This window comes from Homo sapiens, chromosome 9 (assembly GCF_000001405.40).
Source record: "Homo sapiens chromosome 9, GRCh38.p14 Primary Assembly".
NCBI lineage: Eukaryota > Metazoa > Chordata > Mammalia > Primates > Hominidae > Homo > Homo sapiens.
Window position 1 is genome coordinate 105,145,457 of NC_000009.12, and position 14,844 is coordinate 105,160,300.

General features: G+C 43.0%; 1 long non-coding RNA gene across 1 annotated transcript in view, besides 1 other annotated feature; it reads left to right on the forward strand.

Moving 5' to 3' along the window:
* The window catches only part of LOC105376197 (uncharacterized), a 63,129-nt gene extending 53,644 nt beyond the window's left edge, over positions 1 to 9,485 (forward strand). Inside the window, exon 4 of the long non-coding RNA XR_930205.3 lies at positions 9,428 to 9,485. This is a non-coding gene — a long non-coding RNA (uncharacterized LOC105376197). The remainder of the gene's footprint in view (positions 1 to 9,427) is intronic.
* Positions 5,731 to 5,840: an enhancer, noted in NCBI's record as "active region_28737". NCBI's record gives its function as "activates an Ori minimal core promoter by ATAC-STARR-seq in GM12878 lymphoblastoid cells {active_cell/tissue: GM12878}" and the evidence as "EXISTENCE:reporter gene assay evidence [ECO:0000049][PMID:35858748]".
* Positions 9,486 to 14,844: the final 5,359 nt, after the last annotated feature.

The following is a 14,844-nucleotide window of genomic DNA, read 5'->3' on the forward strand; positions in this document are numbered from 1 at the left end:
ATCCTTCAAGCCTTTTGGCTTTCCAGAGCCTCCTATCATACATCCTGGGATCTGGACTTGATGGGCTGGGTCAGGAGAAGAGAAAAGAAAATAGAGTGATGATGCCTTTTGGGAAAGCAATGATAGACTTCCCCGCAAGAAAGTTTCCGGGGCATCTTTGTAGTTGCTGACATTTGAAAATACATCATTCCTTGCTACTTAACGTAGTCATTAACTATGGAATGCTGATCAATCAAACACAGTGTGAATGGAGACTAACCGTGTGCAAAAGTCAGGGGTCGATCAGAGAAGCGGAATGATGATAGGTAATGTAGAATAAAGAATTTATTATAGACATTAAGCTAACCTGGCATAGTACAAAGCCACCTCACTGTGTATCCCTAGCATAGCTGATCAATTTTGAGAATTTCACAAAAAAATTCTCTCTTTTCTTAAAAATTTTTTTGAGACGGAGTTTTGCTCTTTTTGCCCAGGCTGGAGTACAATGGCATGATCTTGGCCCACTGCAACCTCCGCCTCCCAGGTCCAAGAGATTCTCGTGCCTCAGCCTCCCAAGGAGCAGGGATTACAGGCATGCCCCATCACACCCAGCTAATTTTTGTACCTTTAGTAGAGACGGAGTTTCACCATGTTGGTCAGGCTGCTTTTGAACTCCTGATCTCAGGTGATCCACCCTTCTGTGCCTCCTAAAGTGCTGTAATTACAGGCATGAGCCACTGAGCCCGGCCTCACCAAAAAAAAACTCTTATTCCATATACTAAAACCCAAGTGGTATCTCTGGGAAGCCTTTGCTTTGGTCCTTCGCTCTTGGGTATGTACCACACACCCCTTTGTACACATCTGTAATAGAACCCGTATCACTTGAATTCCAGTTATTTGTGTCCACCTCCTCTCTGGACTCTGTAAGCGCCTTCAGCCAGAATCTATGTTTCATTTCTTCGCATCTCCAGCTCCTGGCATGGTGCCTGTCATATATGAGATCAAACCATGGGAAACTGCTTCTATTTTATCATCTTTAATCCAAAAAAACGCAATTGCATAAATTCCAGAGTAATAGGAAGTTCTGGGCAAACATTTGCCAAATAAATGAACACGGAACAATCACATACCCACAAATCCTGATTAAGCATCAAAGAACGGAAGCGCTTTAGGTTTTCTTGTGGCCTTGGGCTCCTTACCACATGCCTCAATTATCCTTGCACTCTTAAACATGGTGGTGCCATGAGAGATTCCCAACAGGTCAACACACAGCTCTTGTATCATTTTCTTCTTTCGGGAGGCTGGCAGTATCTCCCCACAGAAGAAGAGTGATCTCTAACAGGTCAAATGCATGGTTTTCTGCACTGTGTTTATGATTCTGGAGGCCGGCAGTTTTTCCATTCAGCTGATAAGTGGCAGATCCCGGGATGGATGAGATTAGCATCTGGGATGGCAAGTGTCCAGGATGGCTCAGAAGTAGCTGCCAAACTCCACTTGACTCTCAGTCCCAGCATCACAGGGTGGCAAGTTGCTGCAGAGGCCATGGATCTCAACCATGTATCATTTGGAAGTGAAAACTAACAGATGCGAAATAGCTTTTTAAAAATCAAGACATGGCCAGGGATGGTGGCTCACGGCCATATTCCCAGCACTTTGGGAAGCTGAGGCAGGAGGGTCGCTTAAGCCCGGGAGTTTAAGGCTGCAGTGAGCCATGATGGCACTACTGCACTCCAGCCTGGGTGACAGAGCAAGACTCTGTCTCCAAAAAATAAATAAATAAGAAAAAGAAAGCAAGAACGGATAGAGGTGGCTGGTTACAGACTCTTCATCCCTAGGCAGTTGTGCCTTCCAAAACACAGCCTTTGGCTTCACTGTATCTGGCCCACTGTCAGAGGCTAAAATTCAGTGTGAGGTTTGTCAGGCTCCATCATCCAAATGGATCCCAGTGGCCACCATTCACAGTTGCAGAGAGGCCTGAATTAGTGTTTCAGAGAAAGGTAGTTCTGGAACTTCAGAAAGAATTAAGCTTCAAAAAAATTTCATCCATACAGAGATACTTCTGCCTGGGTCCAGCCCTGCAATTCCCTAAATTCTGGCCCTCCTCTCCCTCCCACTTCCTGTTCCTTGGTCCAGGCTCCCCTGACCTTCCCTGCCCTCTGCCCTTGGTTACCTGATGATCCAACTCTAGGCCTCCACCCTGGGTGCTACCTCTTGGGCCTGCCCTAGGAATGGAGACAGGGAAAATGAGCTAAGAGGAGTTGATTGCCTTATATAGGTTACCTCACTTCAGCCTCACAAGGAAATACTGAGAGGTTAGGGTTATTATCTTCCTTTTAAAGATTAAGAAAGAGCCAATCAAAGAAGTTAGGTAATCTGCCTAACACTACAGAGTGGCTAAGAGATGAAAAAGGAATCAAAACCCAGGTGTGTCCGACTCCAAAGCCCATGCTCTTTGCAACATGCCACACTGCCTGTCTCCCCTGCTACCTTTCCACCTTCCCTTGAGTCTCATGTGCATATCCTGCGCCCCTGATATTCATTCTGATGCCCTCTTCAACCTACAATTCATCCCTTCACCTCCAGCAACATCCCTCCTCCCAGGCTCCGACTGACTCAGAATGATTTCGAAGACAGAAGAGCTGCCCACCATTTGTAATCCACAAATGAAGCGAGGGCACATCTGATCACACCTTACCTGCCTTCTCTGAGTCTCCACTGCTTCAGGAAGGGTCCAAATATCTCATCATGACATAAATGCCACTAATAATGCAGCCCTTACCAGTCCCTCTGGCATCACCTCTCAACTGGTCCTTCTCTCTTCCCTTTTTAATTTTTTTTTTTTTTTTTTTGAGATGGAGTTTTACTCTTGTTGCCCAGGCTGGGCATTAGGCTAAAAAAAGAAGCCAGTCACAAAAGCCACTTATATGATTCCATTCATATGGAACATCCAGAATAGGCAAATCTAGAGACAGAAAGTAGAGTAATGACTGCCAGGGGATAGGGGAAGGGAAAATAGGGAGTGACTGCTAATAGGTATGGAGCTTCTTTTTAGGAGTCATGAAAATATTCTGGAATTAGATAGTGGTGATGATTGCACAACTTTATAAATACACTAAAACCACTTAGCTGTATGCTTTAAAAGAGCAAATTTTATGGTATGTAAATTATATCTCAATAAAACTGATGTATTTTAAACATATTTTAAAAGTGTTTATTAGGAATCAATATCTGTGAAAGAAAGGAGGAGGAGGCAGGATTGGGCAGAAGAGTTTGACCTGTGATGCAGGCCCACTAAAGCCACAACTAACCAGGGAGGGAGCTCTGGAGCAAGTATGCCCATCAGAGTGTCTCCCATCAGGCTGAAATGGCCCAGCCTTTATGCCTCTACCCTGCTCAGTCACCGGCTGTGGGCTCCCCAGAGAATAGCATGACCCTGGGCAAGGCAGCTCTCCCTGCTTGAATAGACCCTGAAGCTGCTGGACAGCTGGAGGCTGTCTGCAAACCCACTCCCTGGACATGGGCAGCAAGTCCTTCTTAAAAGGGGTCTGAGTGGTGTAAATGTCCACTAGAAAGGAATGTGACAGTTGTTTCAGGAAGGAAAGAGAAGTTGACAGAAGAAAAAGGAGTGAGATAGAGCCAGAGAGATGGCAGGAAGCTGTGCATTATGCAATGGGATCCCACCTCACGGATCATCATCTTCACCTGAGTTAAGATGCAGAGTACAGACTCTCAACATTTTGTCAAATAGGTAATTCTCTCTTTTTATTTTTTTCTTTTTTTTTGAGACAGAGTCTCACTCTGTCACCCAGTTTGGAGTGCAGTGGTGCGATCCTGGCTCACTGCAACCTCTGCCTCCTGGGTTCAAGTGGTTCTTGTGCCCCAGCCTCCTGACTGCCTGGGATTACAAGCGTGCACCATCACACCTGACTAATTTTTTTTTTTTTTTTTTTTTTTTTTTTGGAGACAGAGTCTCGCTCTATCCCCCAGGCTAGAGTGCAGTGGTGCGATCTTAGCTCACTGCAACCTCCACCTCCCAGGCTCAAGCGATTCTCATGCCTCAGCCTCCCAAGTATCTGGGATTACAGATGCCTGCCATCATGCCCAGCTAATCTTTGTATTTTTAGTAGAGGTAGGGTTTTGCCATGTTGGCCAGCTGGTCTCGAACTCCTGACCTCAAGTGATCCACCCGCCTCGGCCTCCCAAAGTGCTAGGATCACAGGCGTGCACCACCACACCTGGCCGGTAATTCTCTTCTAACATTCTGTCTTTTCCTTCTTAGGCTCCCATTTCTCCCAGAACATGAGCTAGCTGCTGCATTCGCTCAACTAAATTTTTTTTTTAAGGTTTGTGAGGTGGGTATGGTGGTGCACATCCATAATCTCAGCTACTCAGGAGCCTGCAGCAGGAGGATTCCTTGACCCCAGGAGTTCCAGGCCAGCCTGTGTGACTTAGTGAGACCTTGTCTCTAAAAATATATTTTTATTTATAAAATAAAAAATAATAAAATTTTGTGGGGGAGAGAGCACCTCTTTTTCTTCACAAACATGTTAAAAGACATTACAATTAAGGTGTAATTTATAAATGATGATCAATACTGTGCTGAAGATCTACATGATGAACAAGAAGAGTAGTGAAGGGAAAACAAGACGAGTCCCGCCACCAAAACCAAGTTGGATTTAGTATCAGGTGTTTGGTCTACCAGCTTTTCATAAAAAGCACATCTGGATGCTGCAGGAAAGACTGCATTTCACATACACACTGCATCTGGTTAAGACAAGAATAATAGAGAAACCAACAAGGAAAAATGCAAACCCAGACATCTAACAATAATGCTTTTGCAAAGGTGCTTTCCTATACCATCCCATTTATTCCTCTCAACAACTCCATATTGTAATAATCTTCATTTTATATTATAGTTGAGTCAAATGATGTTCAGTTTAGTTAATTGGCTCAAGACTGCATAGCAACTAAGCAATGGTACCAGGACTTACATCCAGAGCTAGTGACTTTTCTTTTTTTAGACCGAGTCTTGCTGTCACCCAGGCTGGAGTGCAGTGGCGTGATCTCAGCTCTCTATAACCTCTGCCTCCCAGGTTCAAGTGATCCTCCTGCCTCAGCCTCCCGAGTAGCTGGAATTACAGGCTTGCACCACTAAGCCCAGCTAATTTCTGTATTTTTAGTAGAGACAGGGTTTCACCATGTTAGCCAGGCTGGTCTCAAACCCCTGACCTCAAGTGATCCGCCCACCTCGGGCTCCCAAAGTGCTGGGATTACAGGCATGAGCCACTGTGCCCGGCCACTAGTGACTTTAAATGCAATACTCTTTCCAAGACTACACCAAGATATAGCACAACCTCCATTTTCTCTCCACCTTCTGTGGCCAGACAGGTAGCCACAAGAGAATAGAAACCTCCTCAGCTGTCCAAATGCATTTCCCAAGAAGTAAAAGACATTTAAGGATTAACTTCTTAGAGAGAGTATTTCCTTGATGAGCATGGCTTTCAGCCAACAAATAGAATAAACAAAACTACCTCTAATACACCTCAGAAATGCAAGAACTCATTTGTGTGTGGCCTTGAAAATTTTAAAGAGGAAAACTCCAGACAGGCAACTAGTAAGCATTTTTAACTCCAGCTGTGACAGGAAGTGAAATTTTAAATGGCAAAATAGAGGGAAAAGCTATTAAATAAGGGCCTCCACAGAACACGGTAGCATTCAGCCCAGGGGTTTCCCACCTCAACAAAAGTCACTATGACAACACTGGGAAATCAAGAGCATTCATGTGCAGTGATGGTGAACACATCTACAGACCTGGAGCAGAGTGACACCTCCAGCATTGGTATGGGTTATATAATTAGCAATGAAGAAGAGACAGCTTCCTTGGACAAAAAAATATGTTTGTGATACTGTGACAACAAAGTTAAATGGATTCCTTTGCTCTAGGACTTCCCAAGAGGGGAATAGTTTATACACTGATTTAAGAAATGGTGAGTTCCAGCAATAAAATGATCATTTGTAACAGTTGCAGAGAGAAACTGATCATTCTGGACAACTAGTTCAGGTGTAACAAATAGATGTTCTGTTTGCCTTCATTTCTCCTGCCTGCCCCCATGGAAGGCATGACTAATCACTGCATTTTTTGCCACTGACTCCAGATATAACCGTATACTCTTTAAAACAGCACTTCAAGAAGCCACTACTGGTTAATCATAAATGCATTAACAACTTTGAAACAAAAAAGGGCTGGCATAAAGCTGCTTAGGATAAAGAAACAGACTAGATGATTCCTAGGGTGCAACAGATGGAGAGTCTAGGCCAAAAAGATCTGCTAGCTAACTCTCAGAGGAGGAGTTAAGGGGTAGGGGCCAGATCGCATTTATCATTGTATCCTCGACACCTAGCACAGTGGTTAACACCTAAATCACATGGTAATGATGCGTTGTCATAGTCCATATTTACTATATATATCTATTCACTATTAGGAAAACTGTATATAATTATTCCCTATCATGCATTCTTTTTCTTTTTCTTTTTAATTTTTTTTCTTTGAGACCAAGTCTTGCCCTGCCATATAGGTTGGAGTGCAGTGGCGCAATCTTGGCACACTGCAAACTCCACCTCCCAGGTTCAAGTGATTCTCCTGCCTCCGCTTCCCAAGTAGCTGGGATTACAGGCACCTGCCACCACGCCGCGCTAATTTTTGTATTTTTAGTAGAGATGGAGTTCCACCATGTTGGCCAGGCTGGTCTCAAACTCCTGACCTCAAGTGATCTGCCCACCTCAGCCTCCCAAAGTGCTGGGATTACAGGCATGAGCCACCAGGCCCAGCCATTCTATTTCTTTTTCAGGTATTTTTTTTCTACTATCTTTGTAAGGACCTTAATGAAGAACCTCATTCAGTATTGTTTAAATAAGTACCAGGAACCACAGAGAGTGTATTATCAGCAGACCTTGGTTTGAATCTTGACTTTATATTTATTTGCTCTACAGTCTTGAGAAAATTACTCGACCTCTACAAGCACCAGTATCTTCATTTGTAAAAGGAGGATAATACCATCTACCTTGTAGGATTGTGCTATGGTCTGAATGTTTGTGTCCTCCTAAAACTGATGTTGAAACAATTCCTAATGTAGTAATAGTAAGAGGTGAGGCCTTTGGGAGGTGATTAAGTTATGAGGGTGGAGCTCTGGTGAATGGATTGTGCCCTTATTTTGAAAAGCCAGAGAGCTTGTTTGCCCTTTCTGCCATGTGAGAACACATAGCAGGTGGCTATCTATGAGAAACAGACCCTCACCAGTGAATCTGCTGATGCCTAGTTACTGGACTTCTCAGCTGCCAGATCTGTGAGCAATAAGTTTCTATTGTTTATAAATTACCCAGTCTAAGGTATTTTGTTATAGCAGCCCAAACAGACTAAGACAGGTTATTATAAAGATTAGGGATTTATTACGCAAAGCACCTGATACAGTTCCTGGTTTTTTTTCTATTTACTCCTCTCGTTTCCAGAAAGATTTAAAGTGGCCTAAAAAGTTACCTACAATTAAGTAAATAAATTTAAAATAAACATGTAAACATTTTACAGCAAAAGGGAAACAAAAATATTTAAAAACACAGTAAACAGGCCGGGCACAGTGGCTCACACCTGTAATTCCAGCACTTTGAGAGGCCAAGGCGGGCGGATCACGAGGTCAGGAGATCAAGACCATCCTGGCTAACATGGTGAAACCCTGTCTCTACTAAAAAATACAAAAAAATAGCTGGGCGTAGTGGCGGGCGCCTGTAGTCCCAGCTACTCAGGAGGCTGAGACAGGAGAATGGCATGAACCCGGGAGGCGGAGCTTGCAGTGAGCCAAGATCGCACCACTGCACTCCAGCCTAGGTGACAGAGTGAGACTCCGTCTCAAAAAAAAAAAAAAAAAAATACAGTAAACAAGGAGTGAGTTACAGCATCTCATACATGGTAGACATACAATTAAATGTTAGTTGTTGGTAGTAATAGTTTGTATTAATAACATTAGTTGTCACTGTTGATGTCATCATCTCTGCTGAGAGGATTCCATTTATCTTTCAAATTCAATTCATCTTTCAAATCCCCTTCTGGGGTCCAGCCCTATTAGATAGCAAATATGATGTAAAAACCTCAAAAATTAAAACTGTGGTATAGGTATATGACCAGATAGACCAATAGAACAGAATAGAATGTCCATAAGAGATTTCAGTTTATGATAAAGTTGCATCATATATATGCATAAAGTACAGGATAAAGTTTAGTCTATAATAAAGTTGCAAGATTTTGAAGACCTCACATACAGAAATAGACATTAAGGCACAAAGAAGTTAAATAACTTGCCAAGTTCATGCAGCTAGTAAATTACAGAACTGGGATTTGAATGTAGGCATTCTAATCCAGAGTCCATTGTATTAACCACTAAATGATAAAATGTTTTTTAAAAAAGCAAACTACCCATCAGTAAGTATAATATGCTACATTTGGGGAGGAAGAAAGAAACTTATTTATGTTTGCTCATGTATGCACACAGAAATTCTGGAATGACACACAAGAAACTAATAGCAGTAGTTACCTTTGGAGAATGTGGAGATGGACAAAAGGGTAATGGGGATATATATATGTGTGTGTATATATGCATATATATATATGTGTATGTGTGTGTGCATATGTATATACATATGTGTATGTATATATATGTTTATAATTTTTATGTTATACATTTGAACTATATGAATGTATAATCAGATTCAAAATTAAAATAAATACAAAAAGAAAATGCTTGTTCTGAGCAAGCCTTTTCTGACTCCCCCAAGCAGAGTAAGCTCACCCTTTTTTGGGGGTGGGGGTACACAGTATGACTCTGTCACCCAGGCTGGAGTGCAATGGTATGATCTCGGCTGACTGCAACCTCCGCCTCTTGGGTTCAAGTGATTCTTGTGCCTCAGCCTCCCAAGCAGCTGGGATTACAGGCACACACCACCATGGCCAGCGAATTTTTTCTATTTTTTGATAGAGATGGGATTTCGCCCTGTTGGCCAGACTGCTCTTGAACTCCTGGCCTCAAGTGATCCACCTACCTCGGCCTTCCAAAGTGCTGGGATTACAGGTGTGAGCCACCATGCCTGGCCTACCTTTTACTCCTCTCTTTGTTTCCAAATGGATTTACAGTGGCTTAAAAAGTTACCTACAATTAAGTAAATAAATTTAAAACAAACATGTAAAAATTTTACAGCAAAAGGAAACAAAAATATTTAAAAATACAGTAAACAAGGAGTGAGTTACAGCATCTCATACACAGTAGCCGTACAATTAAATGTTAGTTGTTGGTAGTAATACTTTGCACTAATAACATTAGTCATCACTGTTGATGTCATCATGTTTTCTGGCACATTTTATGTTTCACTGTCTTTATTTATGTTCCCTCTCTTGTTCACCTAGATCCTCCAGCCAGTCTGCAAGCTCTTCCAGGCAGGATTCTGCTTCTTTCATTCTTTTATCCCCAGCACAGAGTGCAGTCCCTGACACGTAGCAAGCATCCAGTACATGGGGAAGTGGAAGTGGGAAAAGAGAAGCAGCAGGACCAACCAGCCAAGTTTTGTGGTATTAGCACTCTGGAAAAGGAAACTGACTAGGACCTTCATGTAATAGTGGGAGCTTGGAGAGGAAGTGAGGAGGGAGGAAAATACAGCAACCCTTGCAGAAAAGGTGTACCTAACCCAGCTAGGGCAAAAGGGTAAAAGGGGTACTGCAGGCTGCTGCTAATCAGGGGAAAATGAGGAAGGTGAACATTCAGCTGAGGAAATGGTAGGAGTTTAGCCCGTTCCTGGAAAAGCAAGAAATGGAGCACGATACTAAGACCCCAGAAGAGAAAGACCTCCAGCACAGGAGATTCAGCTGAAGACTCTTTGCTCCTCTGATGACTGAAAATGGACCAGGGAGCATGTGAAAGACTGGCATTGGAGGAGACTCTCAGCTGGTATATGCTATCTATACTTTTGGTCTGTTGCTGTCTGTTCACTGAAACTCTTTGCATACACTCATCTGAAGGCTGAAGGGAGATAACACACTGGGTCAGAGATGTATTTTCCCCAGCAGAGTAAATCTCCAACTCCACAGGCAAGAGATCTGGCCCACTCCAGTCAGATCACCCACACCCTCTACAAAGCTGCATTTCTGTGGGCAACCGTGTGAGTCCTTAGTAGAATTCACAGGAATATATTGCATTATTTAATGTGTTAATCATCAAAACTGCACAGATTCTATAGAACTTATTTTAGAAATACAGATAAAATATGTATAAGTTAAGAGAAACAATGTCTGGGATTTCTTTCAAAATAATCTAGCCCAGGGCCCAGGCACGATAGCTCACACCTGTAACCCCATCACCTTGGGAGGTCAAGGAGAAAGGATTGCTTGAGGCCAGACCTGGGAAACATTGTGAGAGCCTGTCTCTAGGAAAAATTTAAAAATGAGCCAAGTGTGGTGGCATCTGCCTGTAGTCCCACTACTCAGGAGGCTGAGGTGGGAGGATGGCTTGAGCCTGGTGAGGTCGAGGCTGCAGCAAGCCATGATCGTACCACTGCACTCCAGCCTGGGAGACAGAGTGAGACCCTATCTCAAATAATAACAGTAATCATCATCATCATCAACATCATCTAGACTAGAGAGGAGAAAAGTCAGCATGCATTGATGAAACAAGATTCGCCATGTATTGATAATTTTTGAAGCTGGGTGTGGATACATCAGGTTTGTTATAAAGTTCTTCCTACTTTTTTGTATATGCTTTACATTTTTCATAATAAAATGTTAATAAAAAATAGTTTTCGCGGGGCCCAGTGGCTCACGCCTATAATCCCAGCACTTTGGGAGGCCGAGGTGGGCAGATCACCTGAGGTCAGGAGTTTGAGACCAGCCTGGCCAACGTGGTGAAACTCTGTCTCTACTAAAAATACAAAAATTAGCTGGGTGTGGTGGCTCATGCCTGTAATCCCAGCTACTCGGGAGGCTGAGGCAGGAGAATCGCTTGAACCCGGGAGGCAGAGGTTGCAGTGGGCCAAGATCATGCCACTGCACTCCAGCCTGGGCAACAGAGTGAGACTCCATCTGGAAAAAAAAAAAAAAAAAAAAAAAAAAAAAAGAGTTAAGTGCTGACCCAGGCCTTCAGGTAGCCCAGGATTATATTTTATGAGGCATATATTTACCCATGTGTTTTTTTTAGAATTATGCTTCATCAACTTGATAAGATCAATTATTCAGGGGTACTCTATCATCCTTCTGCTTGGTCTCTTTGAATAGTGGGATTACTGGTTATTATTTTTTCTTTTTTATACTTTTCTGTATTTTCAGAATTTTTTAAATGAGTGTCTATTGCCTTTATAGTTAGGAAAATCAATAAAGCTATTTATTATCAATGTGGACTCATGTATTTTTAATTTATAAAATGGATTATCACATTATGCATTATAATAAACCTATTTGAAATTTTACATGTGACAGGAGAGTATTTATTTCTACCCCACAAAGAGTAACAAAATAATACATAAAAATAAGAAGTTTGGATTGTCCAAACAGTAGCCATTAAGAAGAGAATGTACTTTATGTTAAGGATGCTTCTCCCTAAGAGGCAAGCCAGTTAAATGAAAAAAGTAGAATCCTGGATAAATATAGAAAATGTTTGCAGAAGGAAATTTTATTTCATTGCCTCAGTCCTAAACGGCATTAGCAAATACTGCAAAGTAATGAAGGAGGTCATTAAGAAGGAACTAGAAACGCCTTCCAATGTTATGGAAGAAATTCTGACATCTTAATTATATTCTGCCACCTAGTGACAAAGGAAGATTAACATACTTGCTTAGCCCGGCTACAACAGCAGAGAGGCCTGCCCTCCATCATCTGGACACCAGAGCCATGGCCTGACTGCCAGGGCAAGCCTGATCCTACAAGCGCTTGGTGCACAGCATCCTCTCTCTGCTTCTGCTCACAACTCTGGGAGACACTGCAAATATGGTCAAAAGCCACGGAGCTGTTCAGTCTGTGGCTGACAGACTTCCTATGGAGCCAGGTCTACCCTCTGCCACTCAGCACAGTGCACTGGGAACTTTGCTGTCTCCTGCCTGTTGCTAAGGACTTCCAGGGAGAAACAAATTACGAGACTAAAAAGGCATGGCTCACATTGGGCAATTTCATCCCTAACTTCCACTGGACTTAAAAAGAGGAATAAATACAGTGATCCCCTTACCCTGAAATGGGATAACTTTTTTATTTTTATTTTTATTTTTTTTTTTTTGAGACAGAGTCTCGTTCTGTCGCCCAGGCTAGAGTGCAGTGGCGCGCTTTTGGCTCACTGCAACCTCCGCCTCCTGGGTTCAAGCAATTCTCCTGTCTCAGCCTCCAGAGTAGCTGAGACTACAGGTGCACATCATCACACCTGGCTAATTTTTATATTTTTAGTAGAGACGGGGTTTCTCCATATTGGTCAGACTGCTCTGGAACTCCTGATCCCAGGTGATCCAACTCGCCTAGGCCTCCCAAAGTGCTGGGATTACAGGCTTGAGCCACCGTGCACGGCCTGGCATAACTTTTATGCACAAATCTTTGCGATTACACGAGGTGATAGGCACAAAAACTATTGATTCCCCCAATATAAATTGGGGAAGGAGTGGATGTTCTCAAAGCGCATTCGGGGCAGCCACACACCACCTGGAAGAAGCTTCGGGTCTCGTGGATGTGGCCCAAGTGAAGTGGTGGCCCATCATGCATTGCGATGGTGGGTAGGCGGGTAGGGGCGGGGCTAGGGCCGGAAGTAGAACTGTGGCCTCCATGGCCACTTGGGACCCCAGAGGTTCTATGCAAGAAACATAGACTCACCGTGATTCTTTTTTTTCTTTTCTTTTCTTTTGTTTTCTTTTCTTTTCTTTTCTTTCTTGTTTTGTTTTTTTGAGGCGGAGTTTCACTCTTGGTTGCCCAAGCTAGAGTGCAATGGCATGATCTCGGCTCACTGCAACTTCCACCTCCCAGGTTCAGGTGATTCTCCTGCCTCAGCCTTCCGAGTAGCTGGGATTACAAGCATCTGCCACCATGCCCAGCGAATTTTTGTACGTTTAGTAGAGATGGGGTTTCGCCATGTTGACCAGGCTGGTCTTGAACTCCTGATCTCAGGTGATCTGCCCGCTTCTGCCTCCCAAAGTGCTGTGATTACAGGCGTGAGCCTGCCTCCCAAAGTGCTGTGATTACAGGCATGAGCCATTGTGCCCCGCCCACTATGATTCTTTAGAGGCTCTTTGGGGTCTCCTCTGTGCTTCTGTCAGCAGTTTCAGTCCATTTTCCCAAGAACATTGGTGATAACAGCAGTGACATTTAATAAGGAAATTGATCCTGTGTAGAAACTTCATGGACAAGATTAGAGAATACAAATCTAAGTGACTGGCATCTGTAGGACCTTTTGATATTGGCCCACCTTTTCATATTGGCCCAATGTGTCAGCAAGAGCTGGAGAGGAAGCTTTTAAAGCTTGAGCAGATGGCTCATGGCATCAGAATAAATCTTCCGTGAAAGCAATGTCTGAGACGGGGCTAAACTAATAGTCTAAGTCAGGGATCAGTGAACTATCAGCCTGCTTTGTAAATAAAGTTTTATTGGAGCACAGCCGTGCTCATTTATTTAAATATTGTCCTATGGATGTCTTCACACTATAACGACAGACATAAGTAGTTGCAACAGAGACCGTGTGGTCTGAGAAGCCTAAAATATTTACTCTCTGGCCCTTTATAGAAAAAGTTTGCCAATTCATGGTCTGTATGAATTACCCAGGGAGAACATGGCTTTCAGTCTTCCAAAAACATCCATTCCTCCAGCTGGCTTCTAATAAGAATTACAGATGATATAGTGATGAAGTCCTAAGAATTCACTTTTTGGTTTAGAAGCTGATAAACTGGTACTCTTAAAAAAAAAAAAAAAAAAGAGAAAGAAAGAAAACAAAAGGAAGTCCAAACTTATAATGTTTGCCAGTTTCCATGGTGTAAATCAGGAGTTCTTAACCTCCACACCATTGGTGTTTGGAGCCAGATAATTCTTTTTTAGACGGAGTCTCTTTCTGTTGCCAGGCTGGAGTACAGTGGTGTGATACCGGCTCACTGCAGCCTCTGACTCCCCGGTTCAAGTGATTCTCTTGCCTCAGTCTCCCGAGTAGCTAGGATTACAGGGATACGCCACCACGTCCAGCTAATTTTTGTATTTTTAGTAGAGCCAGGGTTTCACCATGTTGGCCAAGATGGTCTCCATCTCCTGACCTTGTGATCCGCCCACCTCGGCCTCCCAAAGTGCTGGGATTACAGGTGTGAGCCACAGCACCTGGCCTGGAGCCAGATAATTCTTACGAAGCACTGGCCTTTAAAGAATATTGAGTAGCATCCCTGGCTTCTACCCACTAGATGTCAGTAGCAACCCCCCAGTTATGACAACAAAATATTAATATGTCTCTAGAGATTGTCAAATGTGCCCTAGGGGGCAAAATCTTTCTCATTGAGAATCACTGGTGTAAATACTCCTGCTATAACCAATTTCAAGCTAGTAACTTGACATCAGTGAACATGGATGTGGAGAAAGGTGCACACAGTCTAACAAACCAGTAAGAACCATCTCCAGTGCTGTGTGAGAACATACTTGCACAGGTAGTGATGTTGTTGCCCTATTTTTAAAATTGAGGTGCCTAACCAGGATCCACATAGAAATTAATCTGCTGGCAAGGTTAATTTTTTTCTTCAGGAAGTGGGCTGAATCTCTCTGCACAAAGTTATATACCATAAAGCATGGTTGAGATTACTATGAACTAAAAAATATCCAAAGCAAATATCAAC